General features: G+C 43.0%; 1 protein-coding gene across 3 annotated transcripts in view; it reads right to left on the reverse strand.

Moving 5' to 3' along the window:
* Window positions 1-5,470: 5,470 nt before the first annotated feature.
* Window positions 5,471-17,828, reverse strand: part of MBOAT1 (membrane bound glycerophospholipid O-acyltransferase 1) — a 112,786-nt gene continuing 100,428 nt past the window's right edge. For all 3 annotated transcript variants that reach the window (NR_073465.2, NM_001080480.3, XM_006714999.3), the window contains 2 exons: window positions 15,385-15,536; window positions 5,471-8,199 (listed from right to left, as the gene is read on the reverse strand). Coding sequence is in view for 2 of the 3 variants with exons in the window: in NM_001080480.3 (NP_001073949.1) it covers window positions 8,073-8,199; window positions 15,385-15,536 (279 nt within the window). In the remaining variant the exon portion in view is untranslated. The remainder of the gene's footprint in view (window positions 8,200-15,384; window positions 15,537-17,828) is intronic.

Here is a 17,828-nt window from a genome sequence, read left to right on the forward strand (position 1 = left end):
CAATAATATGGAGAAATGCTTATGATGTAAAACATTTGCAACAACTTGAAAAGCTCGATGCAGGGCACAGAATTTCTCTGAAAGGCCACATAAGAAGATAACACTGGCTGCATCCAGATGATGAAAACAGAGAGCTGAAGGTAGGCCTAGCAGGGAGAATTACTTTTTTTTGAGACAAGTCCCACTCTGTCACCCAGGCTGGAGTGCAATGGCACAAACTCGGCTCACTGCAACCTCCGACTCCCAGGTTCAAGTAATTCTCCTGCCTCAGCCTGCTGAGTAGCTGGGATTATAGGCGTGCAACACCATGCCCGGCTAATTTTTGTATTTTTTAGTAGAGACGTGGTTTCATCATGTTGGTCAGGCTGGTCTTGAACTCCTGACCTCATTATCCACCCACCTCAGCCTTCCAAAGCGCTGGGAGTACAGGAATGAGCCACCGCACCTGGCCTGAGAATTACATTTCTCTATACATTTTTTCTCACTGATCCAATTGGCAAAACATAAGAGTCTGCTAATACCAAGTACTGATGAGAATGTGGACAAAGAAAAACTGTTACACATTTTGGGGAAAGAAAAAACGCATACAACCAGCTGGAGAACAAGAGCACCCGAGCAAGCTGAGAGTGCATTTCTTTACACTAAGATCCTGCAATGCCACTGCATGATGTCCACCCTGTCACCAGAGAAATACAAAAGAACGTTCACCATAGCACAGTTTATTACCACAGAAACAGCAAGAACCACTAAAGGTCTCTATGGGTTGAACTGTATCCTTCCTGAATTCATATGTTGAAGTCCTAACCCCCAGGACTTCAGAATGTGAATGGATACAAGGTCTCTGAAAAGGTAAATAAGTTAAAATGAGGTCATTAGGGTGGGCTTTAATCCAATATGACTGGTGACCTTATAAGTAGAGGAGATGGTCAAGCATGGTGGCTCATGCCTGTAATCCCAGCACTTTGGGAGGCCAAGGCAGGCGGATCGCCTAAGGTCAGGAGTTTGAGACCAGCCTAGCCAACATGGCAAAACCTGTCTCTACTAAAAATACAAAAAAATTAGCCGGATATGGTAGCGGGCGCCTGTAATCCCAGTTGCCTGGAAGGCTGAGGCAGGAGAATCCCTTGAACCCAGGAGGTGAGGTTGCAGTGAGCCAAGATTGCACCACTTCACTGCAGCCTGGGTGACAGAGCGAGACTCCGTCTCAAAAAAAAAAAAAAAAAAAAAAAAGGAGATTAGGACAAGACACACAGAGGGAAGACCATGTGAGGACACAGTAGGGAGACAGCAGCCACAAGCCAAGAGGAGAGGCCTCAGAAGAAACCAAACTTGCTGACACCTTGATCTCAGACTTCTAACCTCCAGAACCATGAGACAATGTTTATGTTGTTTAAGCCATGCGGCTTGTGGTACTTGGTTATGGCAGGGCTAGCCAGTTCATCGGGAGGAGCACAGATGAATACATTCTCAGTTATACAGACAATGAGACACTACATAGTCTCTAACAGAACCACTAACTACCAAAAGCTGTAAAAGACGGAAGTCCAGTATGGACTCCCAGGAAATGGAAAACTCGTAGGAACTTCGTTCCAGCATGCTGGACTTACCCCACCCGAATCCTAGAGGCCCAGAGAACTTGATTGAGCACCACCATCAAGGGAAAGCCTGGACTTTAAGGGACTAGGAAATAGAGAGCCATAGGCTCAATTTCACTAGGGCCATTTCTAGTGCTGGTCACTAAATGCAGGGGCCAGAACCCCAAACTCAACCCACCTATCCGAGATGGCCCCTCTTCATTATCCCAGAGAAAATCCTGCCATGGCTAATGGAATTCATTCATTCCCTCATTTGTTCAACTAACATTGATCCAATACCCTTTTGAGTCAGAGACTTGCCAGGTATGAAGAAATGAGTTGTCAGGCACCTGGCAATCTGGTTGGGGAAGGACAAATGACATCAAGCTAATCACAACACAAGGTGTTATCAGGGATCTATGAGCAGAAGCTAGAAGTGAGAAGGACTTCACAGGAAAAATAGCAACTTGTACGGCACATTTTCTCTGTCTAAAAGGCCTTCTGCCCTTTTTGCTTTGGGAAGTGCCTATTCAAAAAATGTTGTTCTTTTAGGCAGCAGAACTTAAAGTTACAAAGGCACCAAGTCACAAACGCTGGCTGCATATGGAACAGCTGCCTGCCTGAAAGGAGGGCCAGGAACCCAGGCTGGTGAGGGTGGAAGGGAAGGGCATGGGTTTTATGGTGTAGACAGCAGGAGCTGGCAGGAGTTTTGATGAAGAGGAGCATCCTGAAGGGCTCACCAGGAAGAGTCCCAGGCAGCAGCATGGAGGACTGGAGGGAAAAGGTTACCAGTGACCATGCAGAAAACTTGTCCCAGCATCTGGTGGCTTTTCCAGACCAGCGGACACAGAGACAGTTGCAACCTGGGACTGCAGCTGGAAATGCTGAAAGGCCATTTTGCCCATCAAGCAGACAATAGACCGAAAGAAAGCCAGGGATGAATGGACGATTGATTGTAGCCAGCAACTGCTTAGACAGTGTAAATCGTAATGCCAAAAGTGCATATCCCCTATGAATTTTCTTTGTTCGAGAACAAAAGGGGCCATTGGATCCTGAGGGCCATGTGGACACAGAAAGGCTTTTTTCTAGAAAATTGTTCCCCGTCTGCCTCCACAGGTTGGATCAGCAGTTACAATAAAACTGTCTGTGAGGCTGCGTAGGATCGGAGGCCAACCCACACTCGGAGAGTGCAGACTTATAGGTCCCCAGGAAACACCCACCTCACCTGGACACTCATTTTCAGGCCTAAGAAGGGTGTTCCCAGCTGAGAAAATGTCCCAGGAAAGATAGAGGGCTCCTCTGAGACCCACCGTGCTGGGTGTTTTTTAGAGAAAGCATGGCTATTTGTGGGAAGTACACCCTAGTGGGTCAAGAGAAGGTGCTTCCACCCTCATCTCTGCTACAGAAGTGATCTGTGATGCCTGGGGCAAGACATTAAACCACCCACCCACCCTGAGCCTCAGTTTCCTCAAATGTAAAAAATAAGATGAAGCCAGTACTTCCCAAACCTGGCTGTACATCAGAATTTGTGGGAAGCTCGTTAAGAATACTGATTCCCAGGCATGGCTTCAGACCAACTGAATCAGAATATCTGGGGAGTGGGACCCAGGAGTCTGTTTGTAATCAAAAATCTGTGAGGGCATCTGTTTCCTGCGGATCCCTAAGGTCTACCGCTTTATAAGATGCCCCTGGATTTAGAAATTCAAATAATGGAGAACATAGCTCCATTCCCCAACCCCATGGCTAGTATTTTGTATTTCTCGAGATTGATTCTTGAGGGAGGCTTAGGTTACTGCTGGGCATATTTTAGTCTGTTCTCTTATCTCCTCCCAATGCCAGCCTAAACTAGAAACAGGTTTAGTTCTCTTTTTAAAGATGAAATGTGTCTCCAGCTATGGTAGTAGAGGGGAACATTACGTAAGAATCCAGTAATTCTCCACCTTCCTATTCTTAAAGGTCTCCCTGACCAGGCCACCCACTGGGAATTTCCTTTCTCCTCAGGCCCCAATTTTCTGCCATCTCTTTATTCCACTGAGTAGTCTCTGCCCAATTTCCCCAAAGTTTACATATACCAGCTACTTAAAATCTAGGCCAAACTTCGCATATCTCAAAATGCATTAAAAGAACCATGTTAAACAAAAGGTCTTTTAGGAACACAAAGCAATCACAGATGTTCCAAAAGGCCTTCTTTTTGATGTAAACAATTTAGCTAGGCTCTCACCTCCCCATTCCACCAGGATATAATCACCATTAACCACTGGGAAGAAGGTTATGGTAACACGACCATTATCCCACGTTGATATCAATCACACCGTTCCCCTGAGAAAAGGGAATGGTGACCATCAGCAACTTAACAGCAAATCTATCTCCCCACTCCTTGCGTGTTTAGCAAGCTCCCCAAGTGACAAGGCCAGCTGGTCAGCATTTGGAAACCACTAGACCAGGTGAGTGCTGGAGTTACTTCCAGCTTTAAAACTCCGTTTCTTTGAAAATGAACGTGCTCTGCACCAGGTGGTGGGATGGACCCTGGAGTCAGCCAAACCAGGATTCCAACCTCAGCTCCTCCACTAACTAGCTGGATGACTGTCGTCAAGTTACTGGCTACTTGCTTTCCACATTTGCAAAAGAGAATACTGCCAAGTTCACAGACTGTGTTAGGAATGCATGTGAAAGTAGCTGCCAATAACTTAGTTTTCTTTGTCTTAGCACAGAGTAAGTAGCGTCAGATAATTTTAGCGCATTAGACAAAGCTCACATGGGCTGCACCTTCTCTAAGCAAATACCTTTCCTCTGGAGCTTCATGAAGTCTTTCACTAAGTCTGCAAACTTCACTAAAGATCCCTCCGGAGGGGGATTGGCCACCCTACTACCCCTACGGGGAACCATGAGAGATCAGTCTGCTCCACTGGGTACCTGCTGCATTGATTGGCACTGACATGTTGCAAGCTCAATACCCAATTTCAGCACAAGGGCAAGCTTAACTTCACCTGGACATGAGGCTGGAGAGCAGTGATGCTGCTGTCCTGGGTAACTCTCAACACTGTAAAATGAGATCACTCTAAGAAAACAAGAATCAGGCAATCCATCACTTTATAATTTCTGAATGCTGGAGTTCTCCTGGGCACTCCTACTGTGCACTCCTCCGGATCATGTCTTTCTGGGCATATCGTGAACTCTCCAAGAGCAGAGAATGGGGGACTTCAGCATCTTTTACCTGCAGTGCCTCACAGAGTACCAGGCCCACACCAGACATGACACATTTGATAAATAAGTGAATGCATTAATTAATGGAAGGGTGGACCAGAGGGGTTCAGACTATGTAAACTGGCTGCCTGAGTAATTATATCACGTAATGTACTTTCAGAATTCCCTGAAAACACAAGCCTTTATTTCGGAAACTAATTCTGAAAAGCAGAAATGATGTTTCCCAGTGCAAAAGTGACTCAGTCAAAACTGTCAAGGGCAATGATGCATTAAACTAATTCATTCAATCCCTCATTCATTCAACAAACACTTACTGAATCTTCATTACAGGACAGGCACTATGCCAAATCCCAGAGACAAGAAGAGAAAAAAGATGTGGTCCCTGGAGGAGCCAGGCATCAATCACTTTCTTTAAGCTTCCTGTGTGGTTCCAATGTGCAGTGGGAGTTGAAAAGGACCGTCTGGGAGCCTGCAGAGTAATGGAGGGACACACGCCGCACCAGTTCTGGGGGTCACCTGCTAACTCCTCTGTTCTTCTTCCAGTTTTCTTCTCCCGCCTTTTTCTCTCTTAGCCAGTCAAAATCTCAGACTGAATTATTTATTGCTTTTTGCAACCACTGAATAATATCTGAATAATATTCTTGCTCCATATAGTTACCTTCAAAGTACAAAAAAAAAAAACAACTGCAATATTTTAGATTTGGCTTTTTCAAAAACAAAACCAGAAAGTGTATTTATTTTCAACTGAAAGCTCACATTCCAATAAGTATTTATGAACTGCATCTTATATTTAGGACAACTTGGAAATCTAAGGTAATAAAAACAGTCCCAACCTTCCGTCTAAATGTTGGTCCTCAGTTGAAATCTTTTTCTATGGGTAAGTGGTTTTCAGAAGAAAAAGGATGCTAATCAGTCTCCTATGTGTTGTTCTTTTTATACAGAATAAAGCCTCATGTTTGTGTCCCAGGGCCTAACACCAAGTCTGACATATAGCATCCATAAGCTCAACTCCTAGAGGTTTGACTTCTCCTCATCCCATAAGGAGTAATCAATTCTGGGCAGTCACTAGTGGGACCAATGGCCCCAGCTTGCCCAGGACTGAGGGCTTGAGAGAGTCCTTGGCAAACCAGGGCAGCTGGTCACCAAAGCAGACACCTCTGCTCTCATTACCAAGTTCTTCTTTCAGACATGAGGATACTTACATTACATACAGTGAAACCTGATCATCAATCACATTGTAAATTCAAAGACTTCACTGTAATATGATTATTCCACATACTCCACACCAATGGTAATATTTACCATTTTTGCTAGTTTGCAAGATGTACATTTTTCTTGGTCTCGTACCTCAAACTATTCTTGGTGGAGACAAACTCTGACAGATTTTAGATACCTACAACCCCCTTCCCCTACCCACTATCTAAGATTCTTCCTGGGACAGCGAAGTAGGGTTGCCCCAAGATTTCCTTGTTAAAGTGGGGTGAGACTCATGCACTAGCTCACATCTACTACTTCTTAACTTCCACTGTCCCAAATAAGGACTAAAGTTTGGGTTCTAGTACTCTCCCCCAGCACCAGGACTGTTTACATGCTGTAGAGGAACAGGCACATCACATTCACATTTCACTATCCTAAGAGAAGCAGCAGTAGGACACCTTATGGACCTGTGTCTCTATTGACACAGACAAAAAGCAATTATTCCCATCAGAAACATTTCTTTTATATGGGAACATACTGTTTATTCAATAAGAAATTAATTTTTTATCGTTGGATTTGAATAAATTTTCTTCTCCCAAGCAATCTGATTGGCAGTACACCATTGCAGCATATACTTTATTATTATCATCATTATTATTTTCCACAACATTTAATACCAAGTTTCCTTCTCTCACATAGAATATTACCCAATAGAAGTCTCCAAAAGGGGCCATAGCACATTCATAACAAAGATAGAAAAGAAAACTTTCAATGTCTGCTTTCCAATATGATGATTCAACTAAAACAAAGCTGAATTTCTCAGCTATGAAACTGAAAAAATGAAAATCAGCCCATGTGTACATCACGGCCAGCCATGATCATTAACACCTCCATGAAATGAGGGAGAAAAGAGAGAAACAACTGCTTCTTCTTACCAAACTTCTATATAACTTCAAATTACTTTAAAAAAATTTCCTAAAAGGCATTCTGCTGCCTTTCTGAGGCATGAACATTTGGGTGTCTTCTCAAGACCAACCCCGGGCAAGCAGGTGGCGCCTGTGAAATGGAAAACATTCGGAAAACAGCAGCCCCTCTTCAGCTCCATGTACAGGAGACTTTCTGATTTCCAATCTTGGCTCAGGTCAGAAGAAAAAGGGGAAAGGTTACATTCCTGGAAAGAAAATACAGCCTATTTGAGGGCATGCCTGACTTTCAGTCCATGCACTAGTCCTCTTGGCTCGTAGAGTTTTCAGTGCCCTGAAACCATGATCCCTCTGCCTCCATGGTCCTCTGAGTGTAGTTATTATGTCTGCAAACCAGTAATGTCACAAGTCAAAGGGTCTGGGGCTTCCCAGGGAACCACTATGACTGAGTATATTCTGATTTGAGAAACCTGTGACAAGTCTTCTCAGCACTCGCCTTCTAATTTTTGGAGCCGATGCCTGGGTTCCCAGCATCCAGGTCACAGTAGCTGGAAATCATGCAGGAAGGGCAAAAAGCCAGCAGCCCAGAATGGACTGTCTCTGCAGCTCTGGCACATTCTCTACACATCGCCACACCACTCAAATGTCCTATAAAATATCAAAACCAATAACCTGGACATGGCCGATTAATCTGTACAAAAAGGCTTTATAAAAATACTCCCGGCCGGGCGCGGTGGCTCACGCCTGTAATCCCAGCACTTTGGGAGGCCGAGGCGGGCGGATCACGAGGTCAGGAGATCGAGACCATCCCGGCTAAAACGGTGAAACCCCGTCTCTACTAAAAATACAAAAAATTAGCCGGGCGTAGTGGCGGGCGCCTGTAGTCCCAGCTACTTGGGAGGCTGAGGCAGGAGAATGGCGTGAACCCGGGAGGCGGAGCTTGCAGTGAGCCGAGATCCCGCCACTGCACTCCAGCCTGGGCGACAGAGCGAGACTCCGTCTCAAAAAAAAAAAAAAAAAAAAAAAAAAAAAAATACTCCCTGCACTTTAAAAAAGAACAAAATAAAGATGCATGTAAACATCGCCTCTAAGCCACCGGAGGAGCCCTTGAAGCCTTGTCATCTCATCTTTCGAACGTTCTGCAGTTTTGCTTGTTCCGCTTCTCTTGGAGGTATCAATCTGTTTTTCTCTTATTAATAGAGTTCAGAGTCTGAGGCCGCCTTTGCGTATGAGCTTGTGGTTTCATTGGCAGAAATAGTATTATCAGGAGACTTATGATGTGCAAATAAAAGTACATGGACCTGGGAATAAAAATATACAAAAATTATATTTCAAATAAGGATGTAGATGGGAAACACCACCTAATTATATCACCTACAGTATGACAAGTGAGAGCACCGCTTTTGGCAGTAGGAGGCCTGTCTACACTCAGGCTTCCCTCAATCTGCTCCACAGATAACTCCCTTTGGTAGGTGAGCGGGTCACAGATAGACTGAAACCACAAAACTGGGCAGGGCAAACCAACTGGCTCATCTGTGGATACACACGGTACCGTCCCATTGACATAACAGGCTAACCAACAGAATTAACCCCACGACAGCCAGACACCCCCAATATTCAAAGTCTAAGGACTCCCAAGACCAAATTCAAACCCAATACTGTCATATGACACTTAATGACATTTCAGCCAATGATGGACCACATTAATGATGATGGCCCCATAAGATTATAATAGAACTGAAAAATTCCTATCACCTAGTGACGTCGTAGCCATCGTAATGTCATAGTGTAATGCATTGTTCACATGTTTGTGGTAATGCTGGAGTAAACAATAGTATGCTGCCAGTTGAATAAAAGGCCAGCACATACTATTACATACAATACATAGTACTTGATAATGACAATGAATGATTATGTAACTGGTTTATATATTTACAATACTATACTTTCCCATTGTTATTTTGGCATATACTCCTTCTACCTATTAAGAAAAAAAAGTTAACTGTAAAACAGCCTCAGGCAGGTCCTTCAGGAGGGATTCCAGAGGCACTGTTATCACAGGAGATGACAGCTCCATGCATGTTATTGCCTCTGAAGACCTCCCACAATGGAACAAGATGTGGAGGTGGAAGACAGTGATATTGATGATCCTGATCTTGTGTAGCCTAGGCTGATGGGTGTTTGTGTCTTAATTTTTAACAAAAAAGGTTTCAAAAGTAAAAAAACAAAATAGAAAAAAGCTTACAAAAAATATAAAGAAAAATGTTTGTATACCTGTACCACGTTTTTGTTGTTGTTGTTTTGGTTTTTTGTTTGTTTGTTTGTTTGTTTGTTGTTGAGATGGAGTTTCACTCTTGTTGCCCAGGTTGGAGTGCAATGGTGTGATCTCGGCTCACCGCAACCTCCAACTCCTGGGTTCAAACGATTCTCCTGCCTCAGCCTTCCAAGTAGCTGGGACTACATGCGCCACCACGCTCGGCCAATTTTGTATTCTTAGTAGAGACAAGGTTTCTCCATGTTGGTCAGGCTGGTCTCGAACTCCCAGCCTCAGGTGATGCACCCACCTCAGCCTCCCAAACTGCTGGGATTGCAGGCATGAGCCACCATGCCCGGCCACCATGTTTGTTTTAACCAAAGTGTTTTATTATGAAAGAGTCCGTTTTTAAAACATTTAAAGTTTATAAAGTAAAGAAAGTTACAGGAAGCTAAGGTTAATTTATTATTGAGGAAAAGTTTTCTTAATAAATTTAGTACAGACTAAGTGTATGGTGTTTCTAAAGTCTACAGTAGTGCACAGTAATATCCTAGGCCTTCACATTCACTCACCACTCACTCACTGACTCACCCAGAGCAACTTCCAGGCCTGCAAGCTCCATTCATGGTAATACAGGTGTATCCTTTTTTATCTTTGCCAGATTTTTACTGTACCTTCTCTATGTTTAGATACACAAATACTTATTGTGTTCAAATTGCCTACAGTATTCAGTACGGTAACATACTGTACCGGTTTGCAGTCTATGAGCAGTAGGCTATCCCATATAGCCTCAGTATATAGTAGCCTGACTATACTATCTAGTTTGTGCAAGTACACTCTATGATGTTCAAACAACAATGAAATTGCCTAATGATGCATTTCTCAGAACATATCCCTGTTGGTAAGCAACGTATGACTGTATTCTATTCCTTAAACACAATGCAACTAACACTTTAACCCATTGCTCTACTCAAGTATAAAAGGTTCTTCTTTTGTGTCTTATGAGCCAGAAGAATCCCAATTCTGAAAATCCAGTCCATAACCCTAAAAATAACTGTCATCTAAACTAATAAAAAAAACAAGTTTTGCTTTTGATGTTTGTGGACTTCTATTGCAAAGTGTAGTATTCAGCAGTATGCACAATGTAGATATCCAATAAATACTGGGCCTATCAATACCTGCAAGTAATTAGAAACAGCTGCATTGGCACAACTGTTCTAGATCCATTTGGAAAGGTTCAACTTATACTTTCCCTAATGCTTTTTGAAGAATAAAGGAAAATAATGTTGGGAGGGAGGAAAGCACAATTGATTTATGCATCATTCCCCAACTTCTGTGATTACAAGGTCAGGCACATTAGAATCAGATAACTCACATATGCCCCTAAACTTCCCCATCCTTTAGCAGGAGGAATGCCTCCCTGACAATATTTATAGAATAGTGAAGAGCTCGAACAGAAGCAAACATACATGCATTCATTTATCCTTTCAATATGCATTTACTGCTTAGGATATGCAAAACAATAAACTGGATCTACAAAAAGGCATCAGCCTCCACCCCTTCCCATGTGAGAATGGAAACAAGACAAGCACATCATTAACAGCTGTTTAACCAGGGAAGGGGTAAGCAGCAACAGCAAGTGACCATCTAATCTACTGTCTAAACCAAGACATTATTGAGAGTGGAAAAAGTGCTCCACAGATAAACACGGTGATTTAACAGGTATAGACTGGGATTCTCATGGGCACACCCTGGCCATAGGTAACTCCAGCTTTCAAAATATGCACATCCAAAATATGTCATACTTTGTTCTTGAGCTTTGCCTTAATCTTTCATATGTGGCCAAATCTACACTGGAACAATTACATTAGGTAAAATCCAGCTACTTTGAACATCAAGTGGAAAACACCTAGTAAGGTTTAGTAACCTCTTCTGACATTTCATATTTCTCTACAATTTTAAGGAATATTTCATCTATTATGGAAAGACTAAACTAACATTTATTGATCATGTCAGGCACTGACCTAAGGACTCAGATATAAAGATGAATTAGGCAGGGTTCCTGCTCTCAAGGAGTTTGCCATCTACGAAAGTTTCTACGCAAATTCTAACGTTCTGGCCAGGCGCAGTGGCTCAGGCCTGTAATCCCAGCACTTTGGGAGGCCAAGGTGGGTAGATTGCTTGAGTCCAAGAGTTTGAGACCAGCCTGGGCAACATGGCAAAACCCCATCTCTACAAAAATAAAAAAATTAGGCGGGTGCGGTCGCACGTGCCTGTAATCCCAGCTACTCGGGAGGCTGAGGTGGGAGGCTGAGGTGGGAGGATCACCTGAACCAGGAGGCAGAGGCTGGGGCAAGCTGAGATCACAATCGCGCCACTGCACTCCAGCCTCGGCAACGGAGGAGACCCCAACTCAAAAAACAAATAGAAAAACAAATTCTAACGTTATTACCCACTGAATTTAAGAAAGAGTTATCCAATTCAAGACAAAATGATGTATGTGAATTTGCTTTGCAAAATGATTTCATAGAAAGGTTCTTTCATAATATATTTAAGTATTCACTTGGGCTCATTTACAACTTAAAGAAGTTAGACTGAGCACTCTAAGGCTGAGATCTGAAGCCACTCTAGACTGAACACTGACTACACCTAACAACGAAGTACAAGTGAAATTTCAATGTTAAGCAATGAGGATCTACTGAGAAAAGGGTTTGCATACAACTGTGGTTTACTGCTAGCTACTGAATTTAGCCCAAGGGGAGGAACAGATCTGGAACGCAACCAGGCCTGCCTTCACTAAAAAGCTACGCAATTTTATTTCTTCGCCAGATTCAGGGATTTTCTTAAAAGATTATGAAAACACTGTTTGAGGTGTAATCAATCTGGAATAGCCACTGGCAATATGTGGCTGTTAAAATTCTAATTAATTAAAATTCAATAAAATCGAAAATTCAGTTCCTCTGTCCCACTAGGTGCATTTCAAATCCTCAAGGGCCACACATGTTGGGTGGCCAGCATCTCAGATGGCACAGATGTAGATCATTTCCGTCATCATAGAAACTCCTTTTTTTTTTTGAGATGGAGTCTCGCTCTGTCACTCAAGCTGGAGTGCAATGGCGTGATCTCAGCTCACTGCAATCTCCACCTGCCGGGTTCAAGCAATTCTCCTGCCTCAGCCTCCTGAGTAGCTGGGACTACAGGCACATGCCACCATGCCCAGCTACTTTTTTGTATAATTAGTACAGACAGGGTTTCACCATGCTGGCCAGGCTGGTCTCAAACTCCTGACCTCATAATCCACTTGCCTCTGCCTCCCAAAGTGCTGGGATTACAGGCATGAGCCACCGCGCCCGACCATCATAGAAACTTCTATTGGACAGAGCTGATCTAGACAGGAAACTTAAATTCAATAAATAACTAGAAACCAGAAAATATCCTAGGTTGGATCATCTAAAATAGGCCTACTTGACCCAAAAAATGTCAACTCCTGTTTCATCCTAAACAAAGGTGTTTTTAAAAAAATATTCTGGGGTGATTTTAAAAAGAAGTGAAAAGCTACTTGATAATTTAATTCTGCCCCTTGAGTTCCTGCCTACGCCTAGTTGTTATGCTTTAGTTGGTTAAACACAATATTATCACTAGCAAATCACTTATTGTGATCCCCAAGCAGTAGTTTGCATCCAAAATAACTTCTCCTAAAGAACTTTTTAGTAACTCCACTACTGATATTGCTATTAAGGGAATACTGAGTCTGAAACTCAGGTTTAACATTTAGCTGCTGTGTAAATTCTGTTACTCACCCTCTCTTGAGTCTCCACTTCCTCATGCGACAAACAGGGACACTGATACCTACCCCACCGCTCTCCTCAGCTCACCTCCCTCCACCTTGGATTCTATGTTCTGCCCACATTCACGTTTCTCTGGTCTTCAGTGCTCGGAGCTTCGTGCTACACTATGGGGGGCTACATGACGGGGCTTTTCCAGGCTGTTTCCAAGTCTGGAGCATGGCCCACAATGCCCTCCTTGCCCACCGCGCTCACACATACTGAGCCTGCTTCACTCCCACTGCACAACCTCCAGGACTGAGCTCAAAAAGATGCCCCCAGTGCCTAGGCTGAGGCAGATTCCTGTTACATACTCTCTTAAAACTCTATACCATTCACTCAGAGTATGATCTCAGCATGTATTTATACATGTGTCAATTACTCCCTGTCTTTTCCATCAAGCTATCACCCCAGTGAGAGCAGAAATGATCTCTCTATTTTGCTTTCCATTCTAGCTCCAGATTCTAGCACAATGCCTAGCACACTACAGGTATTACGTGATACTGAGTGGAATACAGGCACTTCTGCTATAATATGATCAATATATTCCTTAAAAATCTTGTATGAGGCAATATCAGGGGCTTAGAATACCAGGGCTTACAGGAAAAAAAAAAAAGCATGTTAGAAATAGATAATTCAAAACCTAGGAGGACTCTGTAACAAAAACAGAGCTTTAAAGGAGACAATTTGGACAGCCCCTGCAGACAGCTCAATGGTGCCAAAGGCTGCTTCCGGGCATGTTAAAAATGTAGAGGACAAAAGGGCAAATGTTGGCTTGAGGGCATGGACAAATGGGAATGAAATTGGAGCCGGAAGCATGTGGGGCTGCCCTAGGTGGGCACAAGGAGGCAGAAGCAGTCAGAATGCTGGCTTGGGGATACGCCTCTCTGAGGAGGGAGCCCCAGTGAAGGGGGCTCCTGTTTGAGGTGTAATCAATCTGGAATAATCGCTGGCAACACGTGGCTGTTAAAAGTCTAATTAATTAAAATTCAATAAAATTGAAAATTCGGTTTCTCTGTGCCACTAGCTGCATTTCCAATGCTCAATGGCCACACATGTTGGGTTTCTCACCTAGGACTGAAATGACTCCTACCTCTCTAGCAGCTGAACTGAGGGCTTCTTTTTGGCTGAAGCTTATAATTCTCTTCCCACTCTTCTGGCACCCCTTTGCATAGAAAAATTTGGGTATAAACCAGTACAGCTTCCATGTTATATTGACATAACTTCTTATCACCTAACTCCTAGTATAAAAGCATATATTGTAACAGCATGGACTTCATTGATGAGTGTTATATGGTTCCCTCAACCTTCTCTTTCTATAGCCTCAAAAAAATCATCCCACTTATAGACACTGATACACATATTGAGTAGTAAAAAATTCTTCAATCCATTCATGACCCCTCCATCGGCTATAGGGAATTCCCAACTTAGGAAGAAGGTGTGTTTGCACTGTTTATTTCTAAGTAACTATTTAAAAAATGATACGATGTTCCAAAGTTAACCTAGAAAAGCCTGTGCAACTCATTAAATAATACAAGGTAGCATTTATTGAGTACAGACTATATGCCAGATACTGGCCAGAGCCCTCTGCACATTTATCTCATTAATTCTAACACTCAGTACTAAAGACGGTGCTCTGAGGTGAATTTTCTTCTCAGCCTCATTTTCCAGTTGAGAAAACACAGGTAAAAGAGGCTAACAACTTGTCAAAGATCACACACAATCAGTTCACAAGAGCATGTGCTCAACCACTTCACAACAGTGGAGAAATACAATTCATTACACATAACTGTGAAAGAATAAAAGTCAGCAATTAGAGGTTTGCAGTTCACCTGGAGCACAGGTGTTTGACTATAAAGGTTGGTCTGTGGTGCGAGCCTCCTCCTCCTCCAGCCTCAATTCCACATATACCCCTCCAACACGTGCAACTGGCAACATAAATCCCCCATCAGCCTCACCAGGGAGTCCTTCTGCACACCACTCGATCAGGCAATGACAGCCTCAGCCGCATCCCCCGCTCCTGCCTCCATTTCTGTCCTGCTCTCAGAACACGTCATAGTCCCCAGTACAGCCTACCCCCCAGGAGAAAGAGCTAAGGGCAGCAAATTTACCCTCTGAGTTTTTACTCAGGGTCCATCCCTTCAAAATATACTGCCATGAGGGGGCCCCTGGATGACATTCTGAATGGCTTAAGGGATTCCTGTCAACAGTGCTTGTATGTATTGGAATTTGTACATTGGTGTCTCCAGGACAGCCACTTCCTCTTAAAGCTTCTATGGACACTTCCCACACTGAAGCCCCAGTTAGAAGTGTTTAGGACTGCTTCATTCAATTTACTGCCTCCTAAGTCAAACACAGTGAAAATAGAGTCATTTACGAGATGGCAACTGAGAACAACGGAAACTTACTTGTATAAGCTGATGGTCGGTTCAACTGCCAACATCACAAAGGGTGCTACCGTGTAAGAGACAGCCAGCTGAGTGACGGCCCAGGTGCCTGCATCATACACAGCCTTGAGAGCTCTTGAAGAAAGGAAGTAATGTCTGTAGTTGTTCCTGACCTGCAGGCCAACACAGGCAACAGTAGTGAGGAGGGGGTGAAAAACAAATAACAACTTTTACTCTGTGCATGCAGATAGTATGCCACAGGAACATGGGCTACAGAAGATAACCAACATCTGAGTTGTATTTTCGACTACAAATACCATCAGGACTTTTTTTTTTTTTTTTTTTTTTTTTGAGATGGAGTCTCGCTCTGTCGCCCAGGCTGGAGTGCAGTGGCGCAATCTCAGCTCACTGCAAGCTCTGCCTCCTGGGTTCAAGTGATTCTCCTGCCTCAGCCTCCCAAGTAGCTGGGATTACAGGCACCTGCCTCTATGCCCTGCTAATTTTTTGTATTTTTAGTAGAGCTGGGGTTTCGCCATGTTGGCCAGGCTGGTCTCGAATTCCTGACCTTGTGATCTGCCCACCTTGGCCGCCCAAAGTGCTGGGATTACAGGCGTGAGCCACCGCGCCCGGCCCAGGACTCTTTTTTTTTTTTTTAAATAAGACTCTTGCTCTGCCACCCAGGCTGAAGTGCAACGATGCAATCATAGCTCACTGCAGCTTCAAACTCCTGGGCTCAAGTGATCTTCCCACCTCAGCCTCCCAAGTAGCTGAGACTAAAGGCACATGCCACCATGCCCAGCTAAGTTTTAAAAAATTTTTGTAGAGATGTGGGTCTCACTTTGCTGCCTAGGCTGGTCTCAAACTCCTGGGGTCAAGCAATCCTTCTGCCTCGGCCTCCCAAAGTGCTGGGATTACAGGAATGAGCCACTGTGCCTGGCCAATTTTTCTTATTAAAATAATAATAATAATAATAATATGTGTTCACTGTAGAAAAATGGTCAAACAACTAAGCAAACAAAAAAAAAATTTCTTTCTTTTTTAACACCTCCCAAAGGAAAGCATCACTTAAAAACTTGGCACAGAGCCATCCAAGCTTTTTCTATTCATATGTATCCATGTTAATATTCTTAATGACACCAATATAATTTCTAGCTCATTTTTTCATTTAGTAATATATCATGCACTTTTTTCCATGCCAGTAAATATTAATCTCCAGTATAATTTTAAGTTAATTTTGGAAAAGTTAGCTTGTCTGCCCATCCCATTTTGCTATTATAAACAATTATGTGATGTATATCCTTGTAAATAAATCTCTGCTCTGTTTCCTATTTACTTCCTTCAGGTAATGATAACACAAATAATATTACTATTACTACTAATACAAGCAGCTACCATTTGCTGAGTGCTTACTCTGTGCCAAGCCTGTGCTAATGATTTGCATGGCTCATCTCTGGTTGATTCTCTCATCAAGCCTATTATGTTAGCATCATGATTCCCGTTTTACAGATAAATAAACTGAGACTTAGGTAAAGAGACAATTCTTTGAAATGGAAATTGCTAGGTCGAAGGATATACTCCTTTGTAGATCTTGTGGCACATGTGACTAGACCTGCCTCTAGAGAGACCCTCAGTTTCCAGATTCAGGTCAAAGGCAGAGCTGAAAGCAATGGCTAGGGGATAGGCAGGTCAGCCCCAAAGCAGAAGATGCATCAGTGCCCAAGGCTGCCTCTCAGCCCTAAGTTCCTCAGGACAGAGACCGGGGTCCACCCATCAAGCAATGCTGCACATCAGCTATGAGATTTTACTGGGTCATTTCTAGGGCCCGAAGACACTTTATGACTGTTGAGTTCAATCTCCTTCCAGACAAAATAAAAACACTGTTCTATCAACTCTCTCCTCTCTATCCGCTACCTAATTCGTTTGCGAATAGTGTTTCCAGGCCATCCAAAAGAAAAGCTCTACACAGATCTGAGCCTTTATGCCAGTTGAAACCATAGAGTAAAAGACACCTGAGGGAATAATACTCTGGATATGTTAGCAAACAGAATTCTAAGTTTTATTTCTTAATTTGGCCTGACCACTTGTTCTTTAGTTTTCTTTTATAATCTAAATAGTTACATGAACAGGAGAGAAGAAAATGTCTCCCCTGTTTTCTATGTACAAATATGTACAATATGCACTTAATTTCAAAAGTATCCTAGCCAGCATGAACAGTAATCCACTTTGTTCATATATATACATATATATACATATATATACACATATATATACATATATATATACATATATATACATATATATATGTATATATATATATTCCAGCACACCTGTGTCTAACTAAAACAAGAGATCCTCAGGGGAGGGACTCTTGTCTTGTTCACTGTGGTATCCCAGCGCCTAGAACACTGACTAGCACACAGTAGGGCTCCTGAAATCTTCACAGGATAAATGAATTAAAGGGTGAG

This window comes from Homo sapiens, chromosome 6, assembly GCF_000001405.40.
Source record: "Homo sapiens chromosome 6, GRCh38.p14 Primary Assembly".
NCBI classification, from domain to species: domain Eukaryota; kingdom Metazoa; phylum Chordata; class Mammalia; order Primates; family Hominidae; genus Homo; species Homo sapiens.